The following is a 24,955-nucleotide window of genomic DNA, read 5'->3' as shown; positions in this document are numbered from 1 at the left end:
TCTCAGAATACAAAATCAATGTGCAAAAAGCACAAGCATTCTTATACACCAATAACAGACAAACAAAGAACCAAATCATGAGTGAACTCCCATTCATAATTGCTAGAAAGAGAATAAAATACCTAGGAATACAACTTACAAGGGATGTGAAGGACCTCTTCAAGGGGAACTACAAACCACTGCTCAAGGAAATAAGAGAGGACACAAACAAATGGAAAAATATTCCATGCTCATGGATAGGAAGAATCAGTATTGTGATAATGGCCATACTGGCCAAAGTAATTTACAGATTCAATGCTATCCTCATCAAGCTACCACTGACTTTCTTCACAGAATTAGAAAAAACTTCTTTAAATTTCACATGGAACCAAAAAAAGAGCCCGTATAGCCAAGACAATCCTAAGCAAAAATAACAAATCTGGAGGCATCACGTTATCTGAATTTGAACTATATTACAAGGCTGCAATAACCAAAACAGCATGGTACTGGCACCAAAACAGATATATAGACCAATGGAACATAACAGAGGCCCCAGAAATAACGCCACACATCTACAACCATCTGATCTTTGACAAACCTGACAAAAACAAGCAATGGGGAAAGGATTCCCTATTTAATAAATGGTGTTGGGAAAACTGGCTAGCCATATGCAGAAACTGAAATTGGACCACTTTCTTAAGTCAAAAGGACTTACTGAGAACTGACCTCCTTTTCTCCCAGGTTTTTATGGTGACCCCTTTGCATCACCTGACTCCCAGGCTGCAGGTCAGACTTGTCAGTGTGCCTTCTGAGGTGTTAAAGTTCTGGGCTTTGACCTTAGGGCTGATGTCTTGGAGGTAGTCTGTGGGGTTATAGAAAGACATACTCCTGAGGAGTTGCCGCCCCTTTTTCTCCTCCTCCTCATCCAAAAATTAACTCAAGATGGATTAAAGACTTACACATAAAACCTAAAACCATAAAAACCCTAGAAGAAAACCTAGGCAATACCAGTCAGGATATAGGCATGGGCAAAGACTTCATGATTACAACATCAAAAACAATGGCAACAGAAGCCAAAATTGACAAATGGGATCTAATTAGACTAAAGATCTTCTGCACAGCAAAAGAAACTATCATCAGAGTGAATAGGCAACCTACAGAATGGGAGAAAAATTTTGCAATCTATCCATTTGACAAAGGGTTAATATCCAGAATCTACAAGGAATTTAAACAAATTTACAAGAAAAAAAACAACCCCATCAAAAAGTGGTGAAAATATATGAACAGACACTTCTCAAAAGGAAGACATTTATGTGGCTAACAAACATATGAAAAAAAGCTCATCATCACTGGTCATTAGAGAAATGCAAATCAAAACCACAATGAGATAATTATGTCATCTAGACAAAGTAGATGTCAGAACAAGGAATATTACCAGGGATAAAGAGGGATATTATTTAATGATAAGGGGTTATTTCTCCAAAGACACAAAACAATCTTAAGTGTGTATGCACCTAAAAACAGAGCTTCGAAATACATGAGACAAAAGCCGATAGAAATGAAAGGAGAAATAGAAAAGTCAAAAATTTTTTGTATAAGGTGTAAGGAAGGGGTCCAGTTTCAGTTTTCTGCATATGGCTAGCCAGTTTTCCCTACAACCTGTGAATAATGGAGCTAAAGATTTATTTAAACATGAAGATCTTTGTTTTATAAAAAATCACACATAGTTACACATTGTCAGACCTTTTTTAATTATTATTTTTACCAGACATAAGAAGGCAAGTACATATACCTACACATATATGTATTTACGCATATTTGAAATATTATCAGTCTATGTTACGAAGAGCTTTCACATGAATGATCTGGTTTAATAAACAAGTGACCACTGAATAAAAATATTTCTTTTCTAAAGAGTAGGCTAACAAGTTAGCTAATTAAAACCTAGATCTGGGATTGGAGTAGAAGACTAATTAATATCTGCTATCTTCTCCACTTTAGTATCAAAGGAAGGATGTAAGCCCATGATGAGGATTTCTTTGCTGCCTTACCCTCTAAGTTTCTTTTCCTGTTGTCATTCCTCCTAGTGGAGCCTGCAGTGACCATCTCCCCAGCTAAGACAGAGGTCAGCCATCACAATTTGCTGGTCTGTTTGGTGACAAATTTCTTTCCTTGCCAAGTGAAACTCAGATGGTTCCAGAAAAAACAGGAGCAGACTGCTGGAGTTGTATCCATACCTATTCAGAATAGGGATTAGACCTACCAGATTCTTGTAATGCTAGAAATAATACCCGAGCATGGAGATGTCTACACCTACCATCTGGAGCACCCCAGCCTCCAGAGCCCCATCACGGTAGAATGACGTAAGGAGCACTTTATTTATATCATAGATTCAATGGAAAAAAGGAAGGGTGGCGGGGGGTCTGGGTCTTGTCGGGGTGAGATCACTACTAACCTCTGCTTGTTATACATTTTCATATCTTCTCTCCTACACAACAGTATCCCCATATAATTTCTGGACTAGTAGTCATGGAAGACTGAGATCCCATTGTCTCAAGTCAAAATGCACTTGCTGAGAACTGAACTCCTTTTCTCCCAGGTTATTATGGTGGCCCCTTTGCATCACCTGACTCCCAGACTATAGGTCAGCCTTGTCGGTGCGCCTTCTGAGGTGTTATAGTTCTAGGTTTTGACCTTAGGGCTGATGTCTTGGAGATGGTCTGTGGGGTTATAGAAGGACATATCCTTGAGGAGTTGTCGTCTCCTTTTTCCCCTCCTCCTCATCCATCCATGCTGCCCCTTGGGGTCTTTGCCTGCCTGTCATCTCCTTTGCTTGGTGACAGACTACCTCTGTCTCTTACATCCTGGATAGGTCTCCAGGCTTCCAGATGAGGACACTGTGGGGTGTGGGGACAGGCTCTGACACACAGGCTTTCACTTCCCAGGGACACTGTCTGAATCTGCCCAGAGGAAGATGCTGAGTGGCCTTCGGGGTCTTGTGCTGGGGCTGATCTCTCTTGGTTTGGGCCTTGTGGCCCAGCCATTTTTGGAATAAGAAAGGTAAGGCACCTTTGAAGAAGATGGAGAGACTGGTGCTGCGACCGAGGCTTTTTGTTGTAACTCGTCCTGTCTGACTCTATAACGGAAAGGCAGCTAAGGTGGGGATGGAAATAGATCACAGAAATTAGGAACACTGAGAGCTCCCTGGCCTGGGTCATGTCTGCATCATTACAGAAGTGAGTGGTGGAGGGTTATTCTTAAATAGACAGGGCTCTGGTCACAGATAAGATCCCTGCTCTCCTTGCCCAGAAATATGACACACATAAGGTGGAAAAAAGAGTTGAGTGGGTTTTTCTGGACACCTGAACATGCTTCAGTTATTTTGCTGTTCCTGAATGAATGTGGCATGAAACAAAATTCTGGAATATTCTGGAAAAAAAATTCTGGAAAAATTCTGGAACATTCTGAAAAGTCTCTGCTCTAAACTTCAGGGATTATTCCTCAGAATAAGATCCAACCTGTGGTATCAGTCATTCAGTGAGGCTTGGATGATGCCCCCATATCCCCAAATTGCAGAGAGTGCTGCTGAACTTGGCGGTAGGTGAGATGAGAGGCAGTTACAGTTGTTACCATTCCAGTTAGTCCACGACCTATGCATCACCAAAGCATTTCAACATCCTCTTCTGCCTTCCACAGGCCCCTTCAAGCTGATGTTTTGTGTTCACTTTAACAGAGTAAAGTGCACTTCAGATATATTGCGATTTTGGTTCCAGAGAGCACTGCAAGAAAGTTAAACGTATCTTTTGGTTTCCCAGTGCATGTAAAAGTCATGTTTACAATATACAGTTGTCTATTAAGTGTGAAATGGCATTATGTCTAAAAAAGTGCATACCTTAATTAAAATATTTTATGGCTAAAAATACTAACAATCCTCTGAGCCTTTAGTGAGTTATAATCTTTTTGCTGATAGAAGGTTCTTTCCTTGATGTTGATGGCTGCTGCTGCAGTTTGAGGTGGCTGTGATAATTTCTTAAAATGAAAGAACAATGAAGTTTGCTGCATAGATTGACTCTTCCTTTCATGAAATATTTTTTTGTAGCATGTGATGATGTTTGATAGCATTTTACCCACAGCAGACCTTCTTTCAAAATTGTAGTCAATCCTCTCAAACCCTGCTACTGCTTTCTCAACTAAGTTATGTAATATTCTAAATCCTTTGTTGCCACTTCAACAACATTCACAGCATCTTCACCAGGGGTAGATTCCATCTCAAGAAACCACTTTCTTTGCTCATCCATAAGCCACAGTTCCTCATCCATTCAAGTTTTATCATAAGATTGCAGCAATTTAGTTACATCTTCCAATTCCACTTCTAATTTGAGTTCTCTTGCTATTTCCATGACATCTACAGTTCCTTCCTCCACTGAAGTCTTAAACATCTCAAAGTCATTCATGAGGGTTGGAATCAGCTTCTCCCAATCTCCTGTTAATGTTGATATTTCGACCTTCTCCCATGAATCATGAATGTTCCCAATGACATCTAGAATGGTGAAGGCTTTTCAGAAGGCTTTCAATTTGCTTTCCCCAGATCCATCAGAGGAATCACTGTCTCTGACAGCAATAGCCTTACATAATGTATTAAATAATAAGACTTGAAAGTTAAAATTACCCCTTGATCCATGAGTTGCAGAATGGATGTTGCATTAGCAGACATGAAAACAACATTCATCTCCTTGTACATCTCCATCAGAGCTCTTGGATGACTAGGTACCTTGTCAATGAGCAGTAGCATTTTGAGAGGAATATTTTTGTCTGGGCAATGGGTCCCAACAATAGGCTTAAAATATTCAGCCAACCATATTTTAAACAGCTGTGCTCTTATCTGGCTTCGTTGTTTCATTTATAGAGCACAGGCAGAGTAGATTTAGTGTAATTCTTAAGGGCCCTAGTATTTTTGAAATGGTAAATTAGCACTAGCTTCAATCTAAAGCCACCAGCTGCATTAGTCCTTAGCAAGAGAGTCAGCCTGATCTTTGAAGTTTTGAAGCCAGCATTGACTTCTCTCTAACTCTGAAAATCCTAGAAGACACCTTCTTCCAATAGAAGGCTGTTTCATCTCTATTGAAAATCTATGATTTAATGTAGCCACCTTCATCAGTGATCTTAACTAGATCTTCTGGATAAATTGCTACAGCTTCTATATCAGCACTTGCTACATCATCTTGTACTTTGGTATTATGAAGGTGGCTTTTTTCCTTAAGCCTCATGAATCAACCTCTGCTAGATTCAGACTTTTTTTCTGCAGCTTCCTCACATCTCTTGGCCTTCATAGAACTAAAGAGAATGAGGGCCTTTCTCTGGATTAGACTTTGGCTTAAGGGAATGTTGTGGCTAGTTTGGTCTATCCAGATCACTCAAACTTTTTCCACATCAGCAATAAGACTGTTTTACTTTCTTATCATTTGTATGTTCACTTGAGTAGCACTTTTAATTTCTTTCCTTCAAGACCTTTTCCTTTGCATTCACAACTTGACTAATTGTTGAAAGCAAGAGACCTAGATTTTAGCCCATCTTGGCTTTTGACATGTCTTCTTCACTACGCTTAATGATGTCTAGCTTTTGATTTAAAGTGAGAGACAAGTGACTTTACTTAGATGCCATTGTAGGGTTACTAATTGGCCAATTTTAATGTTCTTGTGTTCTTAGGGAATAGGGAGGCCTGAGGAGAGGGAGAAAGAGAGGGAGGATGGCTGGTCAGTGGAGCAGTCTAAACATATACAACATCTAACAATAAAGTTCATTGTCTTATATGGGTTCAGCTCATGGTGCCCCAAAACAATTACAACAGTAACATCAAACATTACTGATCATAGATCGGCATGTAATAGTAATGAAAACGTGAAATATTACAAGAATTACCAAAATATGACACAAAGACACAAAGTGAGGACATGCTATTGGTGAAATGGTGCTGATAGACTTGCTTGGTGCAACCCTTCAATTTTTAAAAAACCACAATATTTGAGAAGCACAACAAAACATAGCACAATAAAATGAGGCATTCCTGTTGCCATCTCTACTCAGTTACCAGGAAAGGTAACGAGGAGCAGGTGTTGACATAAACTTAGCCTTAGTGTCCTGACAACTGCAGAGAGGCCGCAAGGGTGGGAGGGACTGTGTTTCTCCAGGGGTTGTTGTATCATGTGATTGTTTCTTCTGTCTCCCAGAGGGCTCACGCATTGGCTGCAAACATTTTTCTTTCTGGAATCTGTTACCTCTTTCTTGTCTTGTCTTGACTTTACTTTTGTCTGTAATTCCCAGCCCCTCTTCTGTCAGGCCTGTGAGCAAGCCATTTCTGCCAGCTGTGTCACCCATCAGGACATGACTCCCACGGTGACTGAGAAGTGGCTGCCAGGTTGTTGCTTGTTCTTGTCTTTCCTAAATTCCTGCCTGCAAGAAATTTCCTAAATGTTTGCTTACTACCATGATAATGAGAGCTCTGCTCTCTGCTGTCTGCTGTCCCTGTTTGGACCATAAATACTTTCATAAGCTTTTACTACCTTCTTCTGTTTCTGAAGACTGATCATGAACTAAATGTCAAACTTCTTATAATTCAATAATTAGTTTTTCAAAATTAAATAGATTTGTGAGTCACTTGTGTTTCTAATTCTGATTGAGTAGGGTAGTGGTGTTGGTGGGAAACATTGAGCTAAGAAAGGGATCAGATTCTAGAACTTTAGTTCAGTTATGACCCCCAAAGAAGACAATGTCCAGGCAAGGACACTCAAAAATCATGAGTCGCCATACTTGGTCTAAGTCAGATGCTACATAAGAAAGTGAAATGAGATACGAAATAAATTTAATTTTCCATCATCAGTGGGGCTTGGAAGTTGGGATTGTGTGCAGCAGTCTTTCCTGACTTCTGCGATAGTCTGATTAGTTTCACTTATTTGTGTAAGTAGAATTGTTTTGCACCACTCATGGTACCTAATACCGTAACTTAACCAAATGGCACCACAAATATCTTCTGGTGAGTACAATGTGTTCTTCAGGGCAAAAGACAATGATTGTTGATTCCATCCAACCTACCCAATTGTATAATTACCAGTGGAGGTTTTATTAGAAAGTAGTATTTTGGTTGCTTGTAATGGAAACTCTATTAGTACCATCTTAAGGGGAAAAATTAATTTTGGGGTTCATGCAATCAGAAAGTTTCTAGGTGAATTTAGCTTCTGAAAAATGCTTAGATACTGGACACAAATGAAACCTTTTTCTCTCTTCTCTTTCAGTTCCCTCCCTCTCTCTCTCTGACCCTTCCCTCCCCCTTCTGCCCTCATTCCCTTCTCTCAGTGCACTTCTGTTTCATTCTACTCTATATTTCTCTCTGTTTGTCTCTTCCTTTCTCTTCAAATCTCTTTTCTATCTCTGTCTGAAAGACCTCCTCCCCATTAATATATTTGATAGTTTTCTGTCTTTCTTCGATTTGCATTTTCCCTTATATCCATTTCTCTGAATTGCTGTTTCTTTTTCTCTCTGTGACTCTCTCTTACATATATATATGTGTGTGCGTATATATATATGTGTGTGTGTGTGTGTGCATATATAATTTATTATCTGTCTCTTGGGTTGTCTCTCTGTCCAACTCTTTTCCTCCCTGCCATCTCTCTACTGGCCTGTGTGCCTCACTGCCATTTTTTCCCTGTCATTCCTTCCGTCCATTGTCTTTTTCTTTGTCTATGTTTTATGTTTATGTTGTTTATTTCCCTGCATCTTTCAGTCTGTTTCTCTTTGTGTGTATGTATTTCTTGGTCTCTTGCTTGTGTTCTCTGTGTAGGTCTCTTTGAGTTCAGCTTTTTTCCTATTTATTACCCTTATTTTTTCCTATGGAAGTCAAACATTTCCTACATGGCTATGAAGATGGACATCTCATATTTTCAGCTCATCATCTGAATAGCAACAGATCAAACATGTCAGCTCCATTTTGATAATTTGAAGAAAGCTTAGCTTGAGTGGCATTCCAGTTTCTCAACCAATCACTTCAGCCATGGGATGTGGGACTCTGATTAGCCAGGCCTTAGATTTGAACCCACTTCTGTGTCAGGAATACAGATTTTCTTTTTCCTAAACAAAGGTGGAAAAAGAACAAGGCTGGATACGTAATAATAATAGTGGAAATAAAAATAATAACTATCATAATCTATTATACAAGGCTTTTATATATGAAGTCTCTCTCTCTCTCTCTCTCTGTTTCTCTGTTCCTTTTCACATTAAAAAATTCAGAAGATGCACCCTTTAAGTAGAATATGTGTAGTTCTTATACAACTGAAGCTTCATTTGTCCCATTCTAAAATGAGAAAATTCCAAATTATAAAAACCTTCAACTCCAGGAACTCTGGTGATATGAATTTCTCCTTAACTGCTTTGAACATGGCTCTCATTGGTCCTACAAACTATGATGAAATAATAGACGAATCTACCTTTAATACAGGTGGAAATAATAACATAACCACAATGAAACCACAATCAACTATCACTTCTGCCCAATGTGATGAGGTATTCGAAAGGCTAGGTGAAATCTGTTGCCCACTGCTCTTTCATGGGGATGTAATCTCTTATGGAGAAAGAACGAGTCACTAGGACACAAATGCAAAAGCAGCTGGAGTTATGTAATAGGGCACTCCTCACAAACCATCCCCAACATGTGTCTGCTACTACTGACTACTTTGGAGGGAGTCATCAAGGAAAATATGGTTGGCAAAATTAGGGCAGATATCAATGTCATTTGAGATTTGTCATGTCCATGTGAGTCTCTTTGGTTATGAACTTTTTCAGGTATAGATCCCCAAGAGGCTCTGTTATTAAGGTTTTCTAGTGAGGAGTCAATAGCAGCTTAGCTCTTGGAGTCCTGCCCCTATTTAAGGTTTAAATAATCAGATTGGACAATTATGAAATACTAGATCCTACCTATCTACAACTTCAAATGTGTGGGAGTATCTTGCCTTTAGCGTCTTCCACACTTTTTAGTTTACATCACTGGTTTTATTTAATAACAGAAATAACAGAAAGCCATCAGGGGAAGGAGGAATTATCCTTGATTTGTCACATTCTCAATTCCACATTCAGCCAGTTGGTGAATTCTATCAATTGAATGATAAAATACTTCTCAACTTAGTCCATTTTATTCATCTTCTTTGTAGCCACTTGACTTTAAGATACTGCCATTTTCCTCCTGAATTGTTGAAATAGCCTCCCACCTCATCACCCTACTTCCTTCTTGATTCCTACAGTTCATTTTCCACACAACTGCTAGAAATGTTTATAAAACTTAATCTATACCACATCTATATCATGATTAAACACCTCACATGTTTTCTTATAGCATCTAGAATTAAACCTAGATTTCTTACCTGGCTAATCAAATCTTCTGCCTGGCTAATGAAATCTTCTGTGATCTGCTCTTTGCCCATAATACTGAGTTCACTGTCTACCTTTTAACTGTTTCATTTTATTAGTTTGGGTAACACCAGCTGCTATACAGAATAAAGATAAAAATTTCAGGGTACTAGCTAAATAGACATTCTCTTCTTATTCACATAACAGTCCATTGCCAGATTGCTAATAGTCTAGGTATTTTTCTCCATATAGTGACTCAGGGACCCAGGCCCTTCACATGTTGTGATTCTGCTCTTTTACTGGACTTTCTGCCCTCTGCTTCCAATGATGAAAGGCAAAAGAGAGAGGGTGGAGAAGGCACACTTATTACTTAATTCCTTGGTGTGCCAGCAACACACTTTACTTTCAGTCACATTTCATGGTGAGCACTAGTGATGTGACCCCATCTAGATGAAAAAGCGTGAAAGTGGAGTCCTTACTTGGACTGCCATTTCTGAGCAATATTGCTAAGCAGGAGGAGGAGTGAACAAATTTTGGTGGAAATCCAGCCATCTCTGCCACTGACCTCATTTCTGTTTTTTTTTAACATTTCAGGTTTGGTCTACATTAGGGTGGTTTCTTCTGCCCGGAATATTTCTCTACCTGATTGTTATACGTACATTATCTTATTTCTAGCTCTTTATGTTATTTATGTTTCAGCTTAAATATAACCTAAGATTTTCCTGATGACCAAATTTGGAGTTGCCACTCAGTTACTCTTTATTAAATATTAATTTTCTTCATATCAGTTATCACATTTGTGAAAGCCATATATTTAATTGTAAGACCTGGTAGTTGAACAATTATTTTTAAAAGTCAGTTGCAGTTGAGAATAATTAGAATGATTTTTAAATATATAATATGGTAAACATTTTATTTTAACTTAAGTAAATACATGTACAAATGTATATTTGTTTGGCAATATGTTGACATAGAACCAAGGCTTCACTTGGTGAATGTGTCTGTTGTTTAGAGTTTTAGGTTATCTTAAATGCCTAAACAACACCCATAACAAACTTTCTATCATATCAAATTTTAGTTTTTTAAAAAGTTTATGAGAATTTAGAGTGAAACATTACAAAGAATTCTGAATTTAGAAACCTTTTAGATTTCACCCCATTTTCTCCATTTAAAAGTTATTTTACCAATTTCTAATTTAATAATTTTATTAAACAACTTATCTTTATTATTTCCAAAGCATTTATTTAAGAACTTAAAATTTCCCTTTTAAAATTCATACTTAATTCATAATGAAATATTTACTTTTTTAAATATATAATTACAATAACCAGTCAATAGAGATGAACAGGTTTGTGAGCAAATGCCAGCAACTTTTGGTAAACATTAAACTCAACTAATGGAAGCAGAAATATACAGGAAGGCCAAAGAACAGCTGTGAGCTATTGGCATGTCATGGGCATCAGCTTGTTTACTGAAGAAATGAAATATGCCAGTTGAACCAATAAATCAATTCAATGAAATTGTCTATTGTATCTGGTCATTTTGTTGTTCACTTAATTGATCATAATATAAACATATCTCTTATTTTTCTGGTTTCTGTCCATCTATTGATCTACAATTATCTATCATTATCATTTATTCATCTATTTATTTAGAGTATAAAATCAAAAGAGACACCTTGTCTATTTTGTTCAGCAATATTCTAAGTACCTAGAACACTGCTTAATAAATAAATATTAAGTAGGTGCTTAATAAATATTTGCTGGTTGACTACATGATGACTTTTGCTTCAGGAATTCACCTGTTTCTGAAATCTTTCCTCCTTTCTTGGGAATGTTTTGGTACTCCTGTGCCAATATCACACATTATTATTTTATAATATACTTTGATGTCTAGGGTGCCCTCTTCCTCGTTCGTGATTTTCCTTTGCAAAATTTTCTTGGCTATTTTTGTCCATTAACACATATATAGTGGTAGTGGTGGTAATATTTTCATAAGGCAGAATTCCATCATCATTATTCAGTATTAACTTTTGTGTTTTCCACATTTCCCTTTTATGAATATGAAATGATGTTATTTAAAATGGTATTTAAAAAATCTTCAATATCGTATTTTCTACAGAAATACAATGCTTTATCACACAAGACCTTCAAATCAACAATCTCGCTACACACTCTTATCAATTGCATAGTCTACCTTTGAAATTATTTTGTGTATTTCCTTTGTACATAGTTACAACATTTGCTAAAAATGATAGCTTTTCATTCTCTTCAAACTTTATAGCTTCTTCTTTTCCTGTCTCTACTGCATTGGAAGGGACATACAATAAACAGCTAGTAGATGTTATAGCTGCCGTTCTTGTTTTGTTTTTGAGCCTACCAGATCTGCCAATATTGAAGTTCTTATTCTAAGGCTTTGTCTTAGGTCTTTTTAAGCAGAAACAAGAGAAAATAATTACTATCTAATTTCTATGAACCAGAGAAAACATGTCAAGAAGACATGGGTTCTCTATGGTATCCTATTCATTACTCAAAATGTAAGTTTCATATGGATTTCAAATATAGCTAACTCTTTGATGTTGCTCAAGTCTTCCATTCTGTTCTGGTTCTCCATGAAAAAATAAAGAGGCAATCAGTTACCCATTGGGACTCAGTGTGCTGAACAAAAATTCCCAAGAAGAAGATCAATTTCAGGGGCAATTGGGAGGAGGGTCTTCATGTCTTGGCCTTGAGGGCAAAGATGCTGAGGACTCTCTCTGATCAAGGTAATAATGATCACTGAAAACAGACACCCAGAATCCATATTCCTACATATAGTGCCAACTAGAGTAGGAGTTCAAGTCTCAATTTATTTATTTATTACAGAAGAGGGTGTTGAGTTACCATCAAAAAGATTTTATATTCTGTCTGTTCAAGTGGTAGACATGGAGTATTGAATAGCTACAGAGAACAAAATTTACCTTAGTTTATTTTGAGCAGAAAGGAGTTTATTACAGACCTTAACATAGCCTAGAGAATCATGAGGACAATAGAAGGAACTGAATCGGGCAACCAAGGAAACCACCTCCTCTTCTACAATCAGGAACTCACGCTGCTCAGAACAGCCGTATTCGGGAAGCTCCTCCATTTAGTAAGCCCCCAAAATCATCTGCTAAAATCTGCACCAGTAACAGACACCCTGCATGCTGCCTCTTTATATCCATGAAGTCAGTTATCAGACATGAAAATCTCTCCTAATTCTGGCACAGAAAATAAGGCACCCCTACACTGGTGCCTTTTCAGGTCAAAAAAGCCCCTCAGCATGTCCAAACTTTACCAGAATGCCTCTGATTGGCTAAATCTAAATGACATCAAATGCTATCCGGGAAACGTTCTTTTCAGTTGCACATCTTTTGCAGTACAGGAGAAATGCACCGGAAGAGGTTGAGAGGTATGTTTCGTGACAATCCACTACATATGGGAATAGGGACACTCAAACCTTCTCCTGCATTTTTCTTAGTAACACAATTTCCAGATCCAATCCTCTGCAATGGAAACTAGGAGGGATGGCATCATTACAGAATAGATAATGTACATGTCAATAATTTTTAGGCCCAATAGACCTTTTCTACTTAATATACCACCACCACCAACAACAAATTTTTGTTAATCCAGTGCCAAGGAGAAATAATTGACATGCCTGTCGCTTATTCCATATTTTAAGCTATTTTTATGGCTTGCTTTCTTTAATGAGTAATAAGCTCATTATCTCTTTTTAATCTTTCAAGACATAGGCTTTGGTTCAGTCTAGAGAAGCCAGCATTACCACAATGTCCCTTTCAGTCTGCTGTGGCCAGGAAGTTTCCAGAAAATCACAGGGCAATCCAAGTAGCTCTTCTACAATGTGTTTTTCTCTATGGTTTTACTTATTCCACAATATAACATTCTTTTTGTCTCTCAATAAACTTAAGTACACTAACTCCCTATCTGTTTCTCTAACATGCAGATTTGTTCCTTCCTTAGCAATTTTCACTTATGTTCTTGCCGTGTGGAGTGGTTTGCTATGGATTTTGAATAGCTGGCTTTTTCTTAGCATTCAGGTCTCTTTTCAAATAGAGTATTTCTAGAATAACCATTTCTAGTCACTCAACCTAAAGAAGTTCCCTCAAATCACTCCCAATTACTTTTGTTTTTCTCCTCAGAGAGCACTCATTATTATATGATAATCTTTCTTCATTTATTTGATTTCTTTGATAGCAGCAACCTTATTTGTCTCATAAAACATTGTCTCTCTAACTTAGATTATTACATAGCTTATATTATATAATAATATAAACAAAACCCATATAAATTAATCATTAGTACATTAATCTCCATTTTAGTCAGATGACACTGAACTAATCATATAGTAATTAATACACATGCTAAATAAGTAACTACTTCTATTTCAAGCTCTATCTCTTCTTTGCCACACTATCATGCCCTAGTTTCAAATTGTGCAGCAGATTTAGCCTCCTTCCTTCCCCAACCATGATCCTAGCTTTCCACACAACCATGACTCAGCCCCAACTCTACCTAATCCTTAGTGCCAAGCAGCCTCGTATCATCCCTACTTGTCCTTCGAACCAACCACACTTGGATAAGAGTTACCTCCATACCAAAGTAAAACCCAGTGTAAATAAGCCCCTTTCAAACACACACACACACACACATACACACACACACACACACACACACACACACACACACACACTTGGCTTTACAAACAAGATCCCAAACCTTTTCCTTTCATGGTTGGAAGTTTGAAATAATGTAAATAAGCAATTCTGCTCTAATTTCCCTTCATCCTCAGTATCAAACGGAAACCAAACCAAAACAAGTCAAATTACCATAACAGACAAAAATCTTTACATTAAAAGAGTAATTAATAATAAACACTTTAATATATTCTTTAAATAAGAGAAATCTTCGTTTCATCATGTTGGCAATCCTAGTGAAAAGCTGTACTCAAAGTTTAAAGGAAAATTATTTTTTAAAAGACTTCTTGATTTCAGCATCAAGTGTAAAAGGCAAAACCTTGTAAAATCATAAGATTTTTATTTAAACATGAACAATTAGCCAATAAAAGAATCTTTTCCTTATGAATATGAAATGGGGTACAGATTATTGGAGCAACCCTTTTTCTTTATGATATGAGTCATAATTAAAAAATAAACTGCAGTTTATATGGTTTGGCTGTGTCCGCACCCAAATCTCATCTTGAACTGCAGTTCCCATAATTCCCACGTGACTTGGGAGGGTTCCAGTCAGAAGTAATTGAATCAGGGGAGTGGGACTTTCCCATGCTGTTCTTGTAATAGTCTCACAAGATCTGATGGTTTTGTAAATGGGAGTTCCCCTGAACAAGCTCTCTCTTGCCTGCTGTCATGTAAGATATACTTTTGCTTCTCCTTTGCCTCCCACCATGATTGTGAGGCCTCCCCAGCCATGTGGAACTATGCGTCCATTAAACCTCTTTCCTTTATAATTTACCCAGTATTGGATATGTCTTTATTAGAAGCGTGACAACAGACTAATACAGCAGTTATCTCATGGCAGTTTATTAGGAATATCTTATTAGAATATGTTAAACATCTTCTCACACTATTAGTTCCTGTGAGGTCTGATTGTTAAAAAGAGCCTGGAACCTTCCTCCTCTTTCTCTTCCTTCATCTCTCGCCGTGTGGTATCTGCACATGCTGGCTCCCCTTCTTCCGCCACAAGTGGAAGCACCCTGAGGTCCTCATCAGATGCAGATGCTGGTGCCATGCTTCTTGTACAACCTGAAAATCATTAGCCAAATAAACTTTTCTTTATTAAAAAAGAATATATTGAACATCTAAACTGATGCAATGTAATAAAACATATTTAATTTAATCCTATCATCATTTTTTCTTTTCAATGTGTTCTTTGGGGTTAGCCAATTCCTTACCTTGAATGAGCATTCAGGAAGGCTTCATAACCTCTCTGATAATGTTTAAGTAAAAAAAGAAAGGTATTCAATTAGTCCCATTCAATAGTCAAATTTCTATATTTTATTCAAAACGGAGGCCTCACACTCTTGCCTATTCAAGAGTGTTGCAGATGAGAAGCTCACAAACAGTGAAGGTGCAAAATTAGCTTCTTTTGTTTCTACAGCTTGTGCTTCTATTTCTTCTACCTGATATAGTTTCAGACCCCTGCGAGTTGAGGCATGGAGAGCAGAAGAGGACAGTTTTTACTTGCCTGATATTTCATGAGCTTGAATTGAATGCTCTAGGGAAAACAGATGCATAAGAAGACTCCATTGTGAACATTTTCATGAATTCTTTGAGAATCCACACTCCCCTAGTTCAGAGCCCGGTGAGGGCTACTGCATCTCCATTCTCATGGAATTCTCAGTCACTAGGCACTCTGGAATACTAGCAGCCTCTTTCTTCTATGATCTGTTTCTCTTGGAGGCTGCCTTGAGATACTAAGACAAGCAGACCCCAGACCTTTCCCTTACTTTTGGTCTACGTCGATTGCCAAGGAAAGATGAATCTCTTTCCTTCTGGAAGTCAGGCAAATCCTAGTGTAGCTACTTGTTCTTTTCTCTGCTTGAAAATGGTACGTGAGTGCTAGGAAGGCAAGAGTGTGGTCCCTTTAAATGATAGGGAAGCAGGGAGCAGAAGTGCTGGGTAGAGGAGGGTATGGTCCCTGGCTAGGGCTCCATCCCCACGGACCTAGGTGAGAACAGGCATTCCCTGTCCAAATGTTGCATTTCCCAAGACCACTCTGGCCTGCCATGCCCCATCCTCTGCCTATAAAAACCTGAGACCCTAGCAAGGCAGGGACAGAAGCTGCTGGACGTTGAGAGAGAGCACATCAGCAGAGGAACACACCCACTGGGGCTTCAGGAGCTGTAAACATTCACCCCCAGACACTGCTGTGGGATCAGAGCCTCACAGCCTGACCATCTGTATGCTCCCCTGGAGGTCTGAGCAGCGGGCACTGGAGAAGAGAGCCACATCGCACTCCCTGCAAGGGGAACAAGGGAATTTTTTCTGTTTCAAAAACATGTAGCTAAGTTGACTCTTGGACTTCAGCATTCTTCAGCATACCCCAGGTACCAATCTACTGAATTGTCCAAACTCTGGAATATGTATGTACATTAAACTCTCCAAGAGGTCTTTTCATAAGAAGGTTTTTAAAATTTGAAATTCATTATTCACTAAAAATATTTTTGGCTGGGCGTGGTGGCTCACACCTGTAATCCCAGCACTTTGGGAGGCTGAGGCAGGCAGATCACCTGAGGTCAGGAGTTCGAGACCAGCCTGGCCAACATGGTGAAACCCTGTCTCTACTAAAAATACAAAAATTAGCCAGGTGTTGTGGTGCATGCTTGTAATCCCAGCTACTTGGGAGGCTGAGGCAGGAGAATCACTTGAACCTGGGAGGCAGAGGTTGCAGTGAAATGAGATTGCACCACTGCACTCCAGCCTGGGCAGCAGAATGAGACTCTGTTTAAATATATATATACATATATACATATGTGTGTATATATATATTTGAGAAAACTGCTTTGTGCCAGAAAGTGTTGGAGGTACTAAAGATACAACAGAAATAAGGCAGAAAAAATTATTCCTGTCCTCATGGGACGTATATTTTAGTGGTGCAGGAACAGATCATAGACAACATTTTAAAAGGTACATTAGTTAGTGTATTAGTCATCTGTTGTCACAACAATGCTGCATTACAAACAACACAAATCACCAGTGGCAGATAACAATATGCTTATATGTCTGGGTCAGCTAGGTGGCACTGCTAACCTTGGCCAAGCTCACCTATGTATCCAAGGTGGACTCTTCTTCACATGCCTCTCATCCTCTTCTTAGGGCCGGTGGACTTGCCTAGAAATGTCCTTATGGCAATGCAGAAGCAAGCAAAATGTTAGCTCCAATACATACGCCAATTTCAAGGCCCAGAGTGTGTGACATTTGCTAATAACTCCTTGGCTGTAGAGGAACACATGGTTAGGCCTAATGTTGAGAGGCAATTCAAGTCACCCATCCATAATGGGAGAGCATAGTAAAGTTAGATTGCAAAGGGCGTGGATATAGGGAGGGATGATGAATTAGGATCATCATCATAATCTATTAGAGTCCACTTTTATTGCTACAATTTTTCATATTCTTCCAATATGAAAAATATGCTTACCCCTAATCTGGGATCACCAGAAGTCTCATGCAATCATGGCATCAGCCATCAAGTTCAAAATCTCACAATCAGGATGCAGGTCAGAATGCAGTTCTCCTTAATCCAGAAACATACTGATAGAGCTGGAGCCCTGTCATCTCGGACAAACACCGCCACTTTAAATTCCAGCTCCCTTTCTAGCCTCATGCATTTCAAGGAAATCACTTCTCTTCTAACTACAAATAGCCAGAAAGAGCAGACAGTAAAACACAGATAAGAGAGTTTGGGCACAGAGAAAGGTTGGGGGAAGGTCCCCTGGGTAACTGCCAAACTTCACCCCCATACAATGGGCCCTAAAACAGTGGGCCTTAATAAGCACATTCCTTTCCCTTCAGGTGCACTAAGATAGGGAAGCTAAAAGCAGACTCTGGGGATATGCCTGCAGCTGCAAAAAAGATGTATGGGAACAGACACACAACTCTCCCTCCTAGATAAGCACAACAAAGAGACACAGAAGCAGTCCAAGCCTTGGATAAACTCTCCCACTCTGAATCCTTAAAAAACTTAGTCTATAAGAGAGCGTGCCTCTGACCTAACTCGGCCAGAAGGCGCCTCTCAGGTTTGTTTTCTCTAAAATAAGTGTGCCGTGACTGGTGAGCCACCTTTTCGTGTGTTTCTTTCCTCTTTCTTTCTCTTTCTTTCTTTTTCTTTCTTTCTTTCTTTCTTTTTCTTTCTTTTTTTTTTTTTTTGTTTGTTTTGAGATGGAGTCTCACTCTGTCGACTGAGTGCAGTGGCGCCACCTCGGCTCACCACAACCTCTGCCTTCTGGGTTCAAGTGATTCTCCTGCCTCAGCCTCCTGAATAGCTGGGACTACAGGCGCGTGCCACCATACCTGGCTTATTTTTTGTATTTTTAGTAGAGACACACGGTTTCACCGTGTTAGCCAGGATGGTCTCCATCTCCTGACCTCATGATCCACCTGCCTCAGCCTCCCAAAGTGCTGGAATTACAGGCCTGAGCCACTGCGCCCGGCCTCCTCTTTCGTTAATTCTAAGACATACAAGCCACAACAATAGAAACAAAGTTGTCTTTCCATCAGCACTCAATACACAGTGCTGAAACTGGGTCAGGATAATGATAGTAAACATGCCCATTCAAAAACGGAAAGAATGGGGGACTGAACAGTCACTGATCCCTGGCAATTCTGAAATTCCACTGAACAAATGCTGCCTTGCACATCCCCTCTAGGGGTGGACAATATTCCTTGGTTAGCCCCTGACTCCTTTCCTTGGGAGTTTCTCATTAGTCTACCTGTCCTCAGAATTCTGTGCTCTTCCCTTTGAAAAGTACTTCCTTTTCTGTTTCCCTCCTTGGCCACCTTTAAAGAGCACATAGGATGATCGGCACTTTGAACAACTTTCTCAGCCTGTTTCTTTTACATAGAGAGTTGCAGATCCATTGCCCTTTTACATTTTAAACAACCTCAGTCTCTTTCAGTCCAGACTGGTGGCAGTTTTACCAATACAGCTGAATAAAAAACGTTGTGAGCTTTTTATATATTTGATCCCATGATACTCTGAATGCCAACAGCCTCACCAACAATTTTTTGGGAGACACAAAGCTCTTTCTAGACTTAATCACTTAGCACAAAAGAGCTTTAAATTAACTCTATTTAACCATATAGTCATAAATATCAAGGAATATATAGTAAAGAAAAAGATTTACAATCTAAAAAAGAATATGAATGTGGAATCTTTTAGATACGGAATCTAAATAAAAGAAATAAGAGTACATCATCTAAAATTAAAACTTAATGGGTGAATTTAACAGCAGACTGGTCACAGGCAAATGCAGTAGTAGTTAACTTGAAGACAGTTTAATAGAAAGCATCTACTCTGAAGCATAGCACAAGATAAAATGAAGAAGAAAGATATCAGCATCAGAGACATGTAGGCATTATCTAATGGTCAAATATACTTACAATTGTACATAAAAATAAAGGATAAAGAGTGCAGCAGAGAAAACAAAAAGATAATGGCAGAAAATTTTCCAAAACTGATTAACGATGTCAAAACACAGATACAAGAAACTTATCAACCTCAATCATAGACTAGTGAAATAAAACCATATGTAAAAAAAAATAATAAATTGCTCAAAACCAAAGATAAAGAGAAAATGTTTAAATCAGCCAGAGACGAAAGTGTCTTGTCTTTGGAAAAAAAGAACAAAAAAGGTTAAGGCTGACTTTCAATAGAAACTTTGGAATCTGGAGGAAAATGGAATGAAACCTTAAAATACGCTAAGAAAACTTCTACACCTAACACAAACCTAGAATTCTAAAATCAGAAAAACATCCTTCAGCAACAAAGCTGAAGAGGATCTTTCTGTGACGGCCAAGTTGGAATAAGCCCACTATAGTCTGTATCTTACACTAATTATAATGGGAAACATCAGGCAGAATATAAAAGGCAGCTATCTGTGGACCTTGAAAAGTACAAAATAGCATGAATATTAGGGAGGGAAGTCAGAACTTGGAGAAATAATAGTAAGGGAGTGAGTTCCTAGGGTTTTTCCTCTTTTGTCTCCTGGCTTTGACTTGAAGGTAACTCCAGACATGTAGTGTGCAGTGAGAGCAGAGAGAAGAAACTCCAAGAGACACCTCCTCTTTCTGTACAGATTGCAAAGGGGGTCTCCAGAGAGTGTGTGGAGCAATATTCCTTTTTTGGAACTTTACTTCTTTTTTCACTTCTAGTTCTTCCCTGAGTGTGGTCAGAATCAGGAAGCTGTACTAAGGCTGCTGTGGTGGAACCATCAAAAACTCTGAAAGAAACATCCCAAAAGAACTAGGGAAAAGGAACCCTGTGGCCTAAGGAATATGGGGTATTTCCCTTTATATTTTTGCTCAATTTTCTCTTCCCACTTTGCCTCAAGGGAAGCCCCAGTTGTGCAGAATCACATGACAATACTTTGAGAGAAACCAACCTTTCTGGCCAGAGGAACCGGTAAGAGGGACCTATGGGACCTGGAGAGTGTGGGAAAAATCTCAGAGGAGAGAGTGAGAGAAAGGGATCCCTAATTCTATACATGAACCATCATAACTCTCAGGGTCTTGGGCTCCCCAAGCCGCACGAGGGGGACAGTTTCACACCAGCATATCAAAGCCATTAGGAGCTGAACTATGATACAAATATCACAGTCCTAGTGCCAGACTAGTGGCTGAGAGGCCCAGGCACAGGGCAGGCACGAACAGCATGGCAAAGTCTTTGAAAACTATAATGACGTTAGAACTACGGCGCACAGAAAGCGAGATACAGCTTGCATTCTAAACTTGATGAGATTAGTTCTTGCTAAAACAAAAAATTCAACCTTCTCCTAGAATTTTAATGGGACCCAGAGCTCACAGTGTAATACAATCATGCACCACATAACGACAGTTCAGTCAAGGAAGGAACATATATAAGTTGGTCATCACGAGATTATAATGGAGCTGAAAATTTCCTATCCCTATATAATAGCCATTGTAACATTGTAGCATAATGCATTACTCACAAGTTTGTGGTGATGCTGGCGCAAACAAATCTCCTGTGCTGCCAGTCACATAAAAGTATAGCAATACAATTATGTACAGTACACAATACTCAATAATGACAACAAATGACTACGGTACTGGTATATGTATATACTATACTATACACTATATAGACGCCCTCTTTTTTCAACCATTATAAGATCTAGTCTTTGTTTCGGAGGACTGCACCAGCTAAGTGCATTTTATTGTTATTTTAGAGTGTACTCTTCCTTATAAAAAGAAAATTAACCATAAAACAGCCTCAGGTAGATCCCTAAGGAGGTATTCCTGAAGAAAACATCGTTATCATAGGAAGTGACAGCTCCATGTGTGTTTGTGTTATTGCCCCTAAAGGCCTTCCAATGGGACAAAATGGGAAAGTGCAAGACAATGATATTGATGATCCTGACCCTGTGTAGGCCTGAGCTAACGTGTGTGTTTGAACCTTAACTGTTTAGAAAAAAAAAAGTATAAAAAGTAAAAGGTTTAGAAAAAAGTTTAAACAATAAAGATATAGAGAAAGAAAATACATTTGTATAACTCTAAGTGTGTTTGTGTTTTAAGCTAAGTGTTATTACATGAGTCAAAAAGTTTATAATAATTCAGAAAGTTTATAAAGTAAAAAGGGTACACTAAACTAAGGTTAATTCATCATTGAAGAAAGACTTTTTTTCTGTAATTTAGTGTAGGCTGTGTACAGTGTTTACGAAATACTTAATGGTGTACAATAAAGGCCTAGACCTTCATTCACTCACCACTCACTCGCTGATTCACCCAGAGCAACTTCCAGTCCTGCAAGCTCCATTCATGATAAGGGCTCTATACAAGTGTACGAGTTTTTATCTTTGACAATTTCACAACACAATATAAAACAATTTGCTTAGATCCAGATTTGTTTTAGTCAATGTAAAATTCAAGAGAAAACAATTTTGATTAAGCTACTCAAAACCACACTTTCACATTCATGCCTTTTTCAATGCTTATCTGCAGGGGTGAAATCTGGACCAAACATATCCTTCTGAGCTGCAGGATACAAAAGCCTTATTTATTATTTTTAATTCTCTATTTTGCCACTTTCTGTAACTCACTATACCAATGATTCACTTCCCCTCTCTCTTTATTTTCTTCTCAGGGTATTTTGTTTTTCCATGAAATACCTACTTCTTCCTCATTGTCTTGCTTTGTGTCATACACAAGAGGCCTACCACATTCAATTTCCAATCTTTACTAACTTTGATATATATAACTTGCCACAAAACATCACTGGTGATGTTCTTGTTGAGGCTTTGCCACCATAAAACTTCTTCACAAAGAGTCCCATGGTTCAAAAGAAGATATTTTTGCTATTTTTCTCTATCCTGCTCATACACATATGCCTCATATAACCTTTTAATCTTGAACTTAGACTAGGTCCTTTAATGAAGTTGCTATGGAGCAGAATCACCATAATTCTTAACAACAATTAATTTTTTCCCTAAAGTCCACATCTTTGAAGGGAATTGGATCTTAAATTTATATTAGTAAAAAGGATCTTCACCTCTCTTAAATTTAAATACCTCATATGTCTTGAAAGATAAATTTCTCAGAGTAAATTCAATTTGTATTTCTTATCCTGGATTTCTATCCAGAAGAGCAATCAACAACTTGTATTGCTATTCTTCAGCTCATGATTGAAGAGTAAGATTTTCATAATTGAGGATTTAATAGTAGCGTTTCTTTTAGACTGACACATAACTTAAGCACAGAGTTGCATAAACATGTATATAGAGTTTAATAAATAATTAATGACACAGACTAAAAAGCTTATCCAGCTTCCCAGAAGCCCTGTGTGTGCACCTTCTACCTACCATCTTTCCCTTGGAGGAAAACATTACTCTGATTTTGTGCTAATTATTTACTTTTTAAAAATGTGTGTATGGTCTTAAATTTTATATAAATAAAATAATGTATTGGATTTGTTTCTTTCCTTTGATAAATATTGCTTTTACGAGATTCACCACTTTTTTTATGTGTAGTTGTGCATACACACGTTAGGATGGCTATTATTCAAAAGGAAAAAAGAGAATATAAGTGTTGCTGTGGATGTGGAGAAATTGGAACCCTTGTGCCTTGCTGGCGGGAATGTAAAATGATGCAGCTGTTGTGGAAAAAGGTAGAGTCATAACTCAAAAACTTTAAACATACAATTACCATATGATGCCATGATTCCACTTCTGGCCATATACCCAAAAAAACTGAAAGGAGAGACTTGAACATACATTAGTATACCCATGTTCATAGCACAAACGTTAATGGTAGCCAAAAGGTGAAACAAACAAACAAACAAATCTCCATCAATGGATGCCTGGAAAAGCAAAATGTGGTATAAACATACAATGGAATATTATTCAGTCTTAAAAAGGAAGGAAATTCTGAAAATATGCTATAACTCAGATGAAATGTAAAGACATTATGTGAAGTGAAATAAGCCAGTCACAAAAAAGGCAGATATTGTATGATTCTACCTTATGAGACCACCTTGAGTGATCAAACAGAGACAGAAAGTAGAATGGTGGTCACTAGTGGCTGGGAGGAGGAAGGAATAAGGAGTTGTTTATGGTTACAGAGTTCCAGTTTGGGATGAGGAAAAGTTCTGGAGATCTGTGGTGGTTATTGTGTACAATAGTGTGAATATATTTAATGCCACTGAACTGTACACTTAAAAAGGTGAAAATGATGAGTTTTAGTTTATTTATATTTTCCCACAATTAAGGAGAGAAGGAAGGAAGGAAGGAAGGAAGGAAGGAAGGAAGGAAGGAAGGAAGAAAGAAAGAGAAAGAAAGAAAGAGAGAGAGAGAAAGAAAGAAAGAGAGAGAGAGAGAAATAAAGAAGGAAAAGAAAGAAAGAAAATAAAGAAAAAGCTTAATGCTTAGAATTGGTGTAAAGATGTATAAGACTAACAAGTTTAAGCAAAAATGATGTTCAGTGTAAGCCACACTTGGTTCCCAGAGTTTGGGCATTGAAACTGGAGTCCCAAGTACAGATTATATAAGTCATACCCTTAGATAACATTATTTGAGGCCTATGTATGCCATAAAATAGGTCTAAGTGTTTTATATGTATTACATCATGGGTCCTCTCAACAACCTACTTTGTGGTTACTAAAGGATTACATTGCATGTAAATATAAAATACTATATTAATGAAATCTTAGTTAATCTACAAAGTTCCACAAAATAAAAACAGCCTAAATTGTAATGTTGTCAATAATCATAATTTATGAGCTTGAGCACGGAGTAAATTTAGATTGTGTTTTTACTACCACCAAATGATGCACATCCATTTACCTAGTTCACGGTCTCTATCTCTCCTTTCTCATTTATGTTAATCCAAATAGTGATACACACAGTGTTATGCAGCCATAAAAAGTGATGAGTTCATATCCTTTGTAGGGACATGGATGAAATTGGAAACCATCATTCTCAGTAAACTATCGCAAGAACAAAAAACCAAACACCGCGTATTCTCACTCATAGGTGGGAATTGAACAATGAGATCACATGGACACAGGAAGGGGAATATCACACTCTGGGGACTGTGGTGGGGTCGGGGGAGGGGGGAGGGATAGCATTGGGAGATATACCTAATGCTAGATGACACATTAGTGGGTGCAGCGCACCAGCATGGCACATGTATACATATGTAACTAACCTGCACAATGTGCACATGTACCCTAAAACTTAGAGTATAATTAAAAAAAAAAAAACAAAAAAAAAACAAAAAAAAAAAACAACCTGAAAAAAAAAAAATTACCTTCAGGCTGCTATATGTATAAAGTGTATATAAAACATAAATGCATAA

At 38.1% G+C, this 24,955-nt stretch overlaps 1 long non-coding RNA gene across 1 annotated transcript, besides 6 other annotated features; it reads right to left on the bottom strand.

Annotated features, from left to right (window-relative positions):
• Positions 2,479-2,623: an enhancer, noted in NCBI's record as "145 bp 6:32698988 sequence used in MPRA reporter constructs". NCBI's record gives its function as "activates a minimal TATA-containing promoter with rs7751856 allelic activity by MPRAs in C283T melanocytes {active_cell/tissue: C283T}" and the evidence as "EXISTENCE:reporter gene assay evidence [ECO:0000049][PMID:36423637]".
• Position 2,551: a transcriptional cis regulatory region, noted in NCBI's record as "rs7751856 or 6:32698988 MPRA-significant variant associated with a GWAS melanoma risk locus at 6p21.32". NCBI's record gives its function as "allelic transcriptional activity by MPRAs in C283T melanocytes {active_cell/tissue: C283T}" and the evidence as "EXISTENCE:reporter gene assay evidence [ECO:0000049][PMID:36423637]".
• Positions 14,935-15,743, bottom strand: LOC102725019 (uncharacterized). The gene is made up of 2 exons (NR_190902.1): positions 15,615-15,743; positions 14,935-15,172 (listed from the first exon to the last, which is right to left on the bottom strand). It is a non-coding gene; the product is annotated as an uncharacterized LOC102725019 (long non-coding RNA).
• Positions 16,087-16,231: an enhancer, noted in NCBI's record as "145 bp 6:32685380 sequence used in MPRA reporter constructs". NCBI's record gives its function as "activates a minimal TATA-containing promoter with rs3998154 allelic activity by MPRAs in C283T melanocytes {active_cell/tissue: C283T}" and the evidence as "EXISTENCE:reporter gene assay evidence [ECO:0000049][PMID:36423637]".
• Position 16,159: a transcriptional cis regulatory region, noted in NCBI's record as "rs3998154 or 6:32685380 MPRA-significant variant associated with a GWAS melanoma risk locus at 6p21.32". NCBI's record gives its function as "allelic transcriptional activity by MPRAs in C283T melanocytes {active_cell/tissue: C283T}" and the evidence as "EXISTENCE:reporter gene assay evidence [ECO:0000049][PMID:36423637]".
• Positions 18,605-18,749: an enhancer, noted in NCBI's record as "145 bp 6:32682862 sequence used in MPRA reporter constructs". NCBI's record gives its function as "activates a minimal TATA-containing promoter with rs3892710 allelic activity by MPRAs in C283T melanocytes {active_cell/tissue: C283T}" and the evidence as "EXISTENCE:reporter gene assay evidence [ECO:0000049][PMID:36423637]".
• Position 18,677: a transcriptional cis regulatory region, noted in NCBI's record as "rs3892710 or 6:32682862 MPRA-significant variant associated with a GWAS melanoma risk locus at 6p21.32". NCBI's record gives its function as "allelic transcriptional activity by MPRAs in C283T melanocytes {active_cell/tissue: C283T}" and the evidence as "EXISTENCE:reporter gene assay evidence [ECO:0000049][PMID:36423637]".

Source organism: Homo sapiens, chromosome 6, assembly GCF_000001405.40.
Source record: "Homo sapiens chromosome 6, GRCh38.p14 Primary Assembly".
Taxonomy (NCBI): Eukaryota; Metazoa; Chordata; class Mammalia; order Primates; family Hominidae; genus Homo; species Homo sapiens.
The sequence above is the reverse complement of the archived record's forward strand: the minus strand, read 5'-3'. Positions and strand labels throughout refer to the sequence as shown.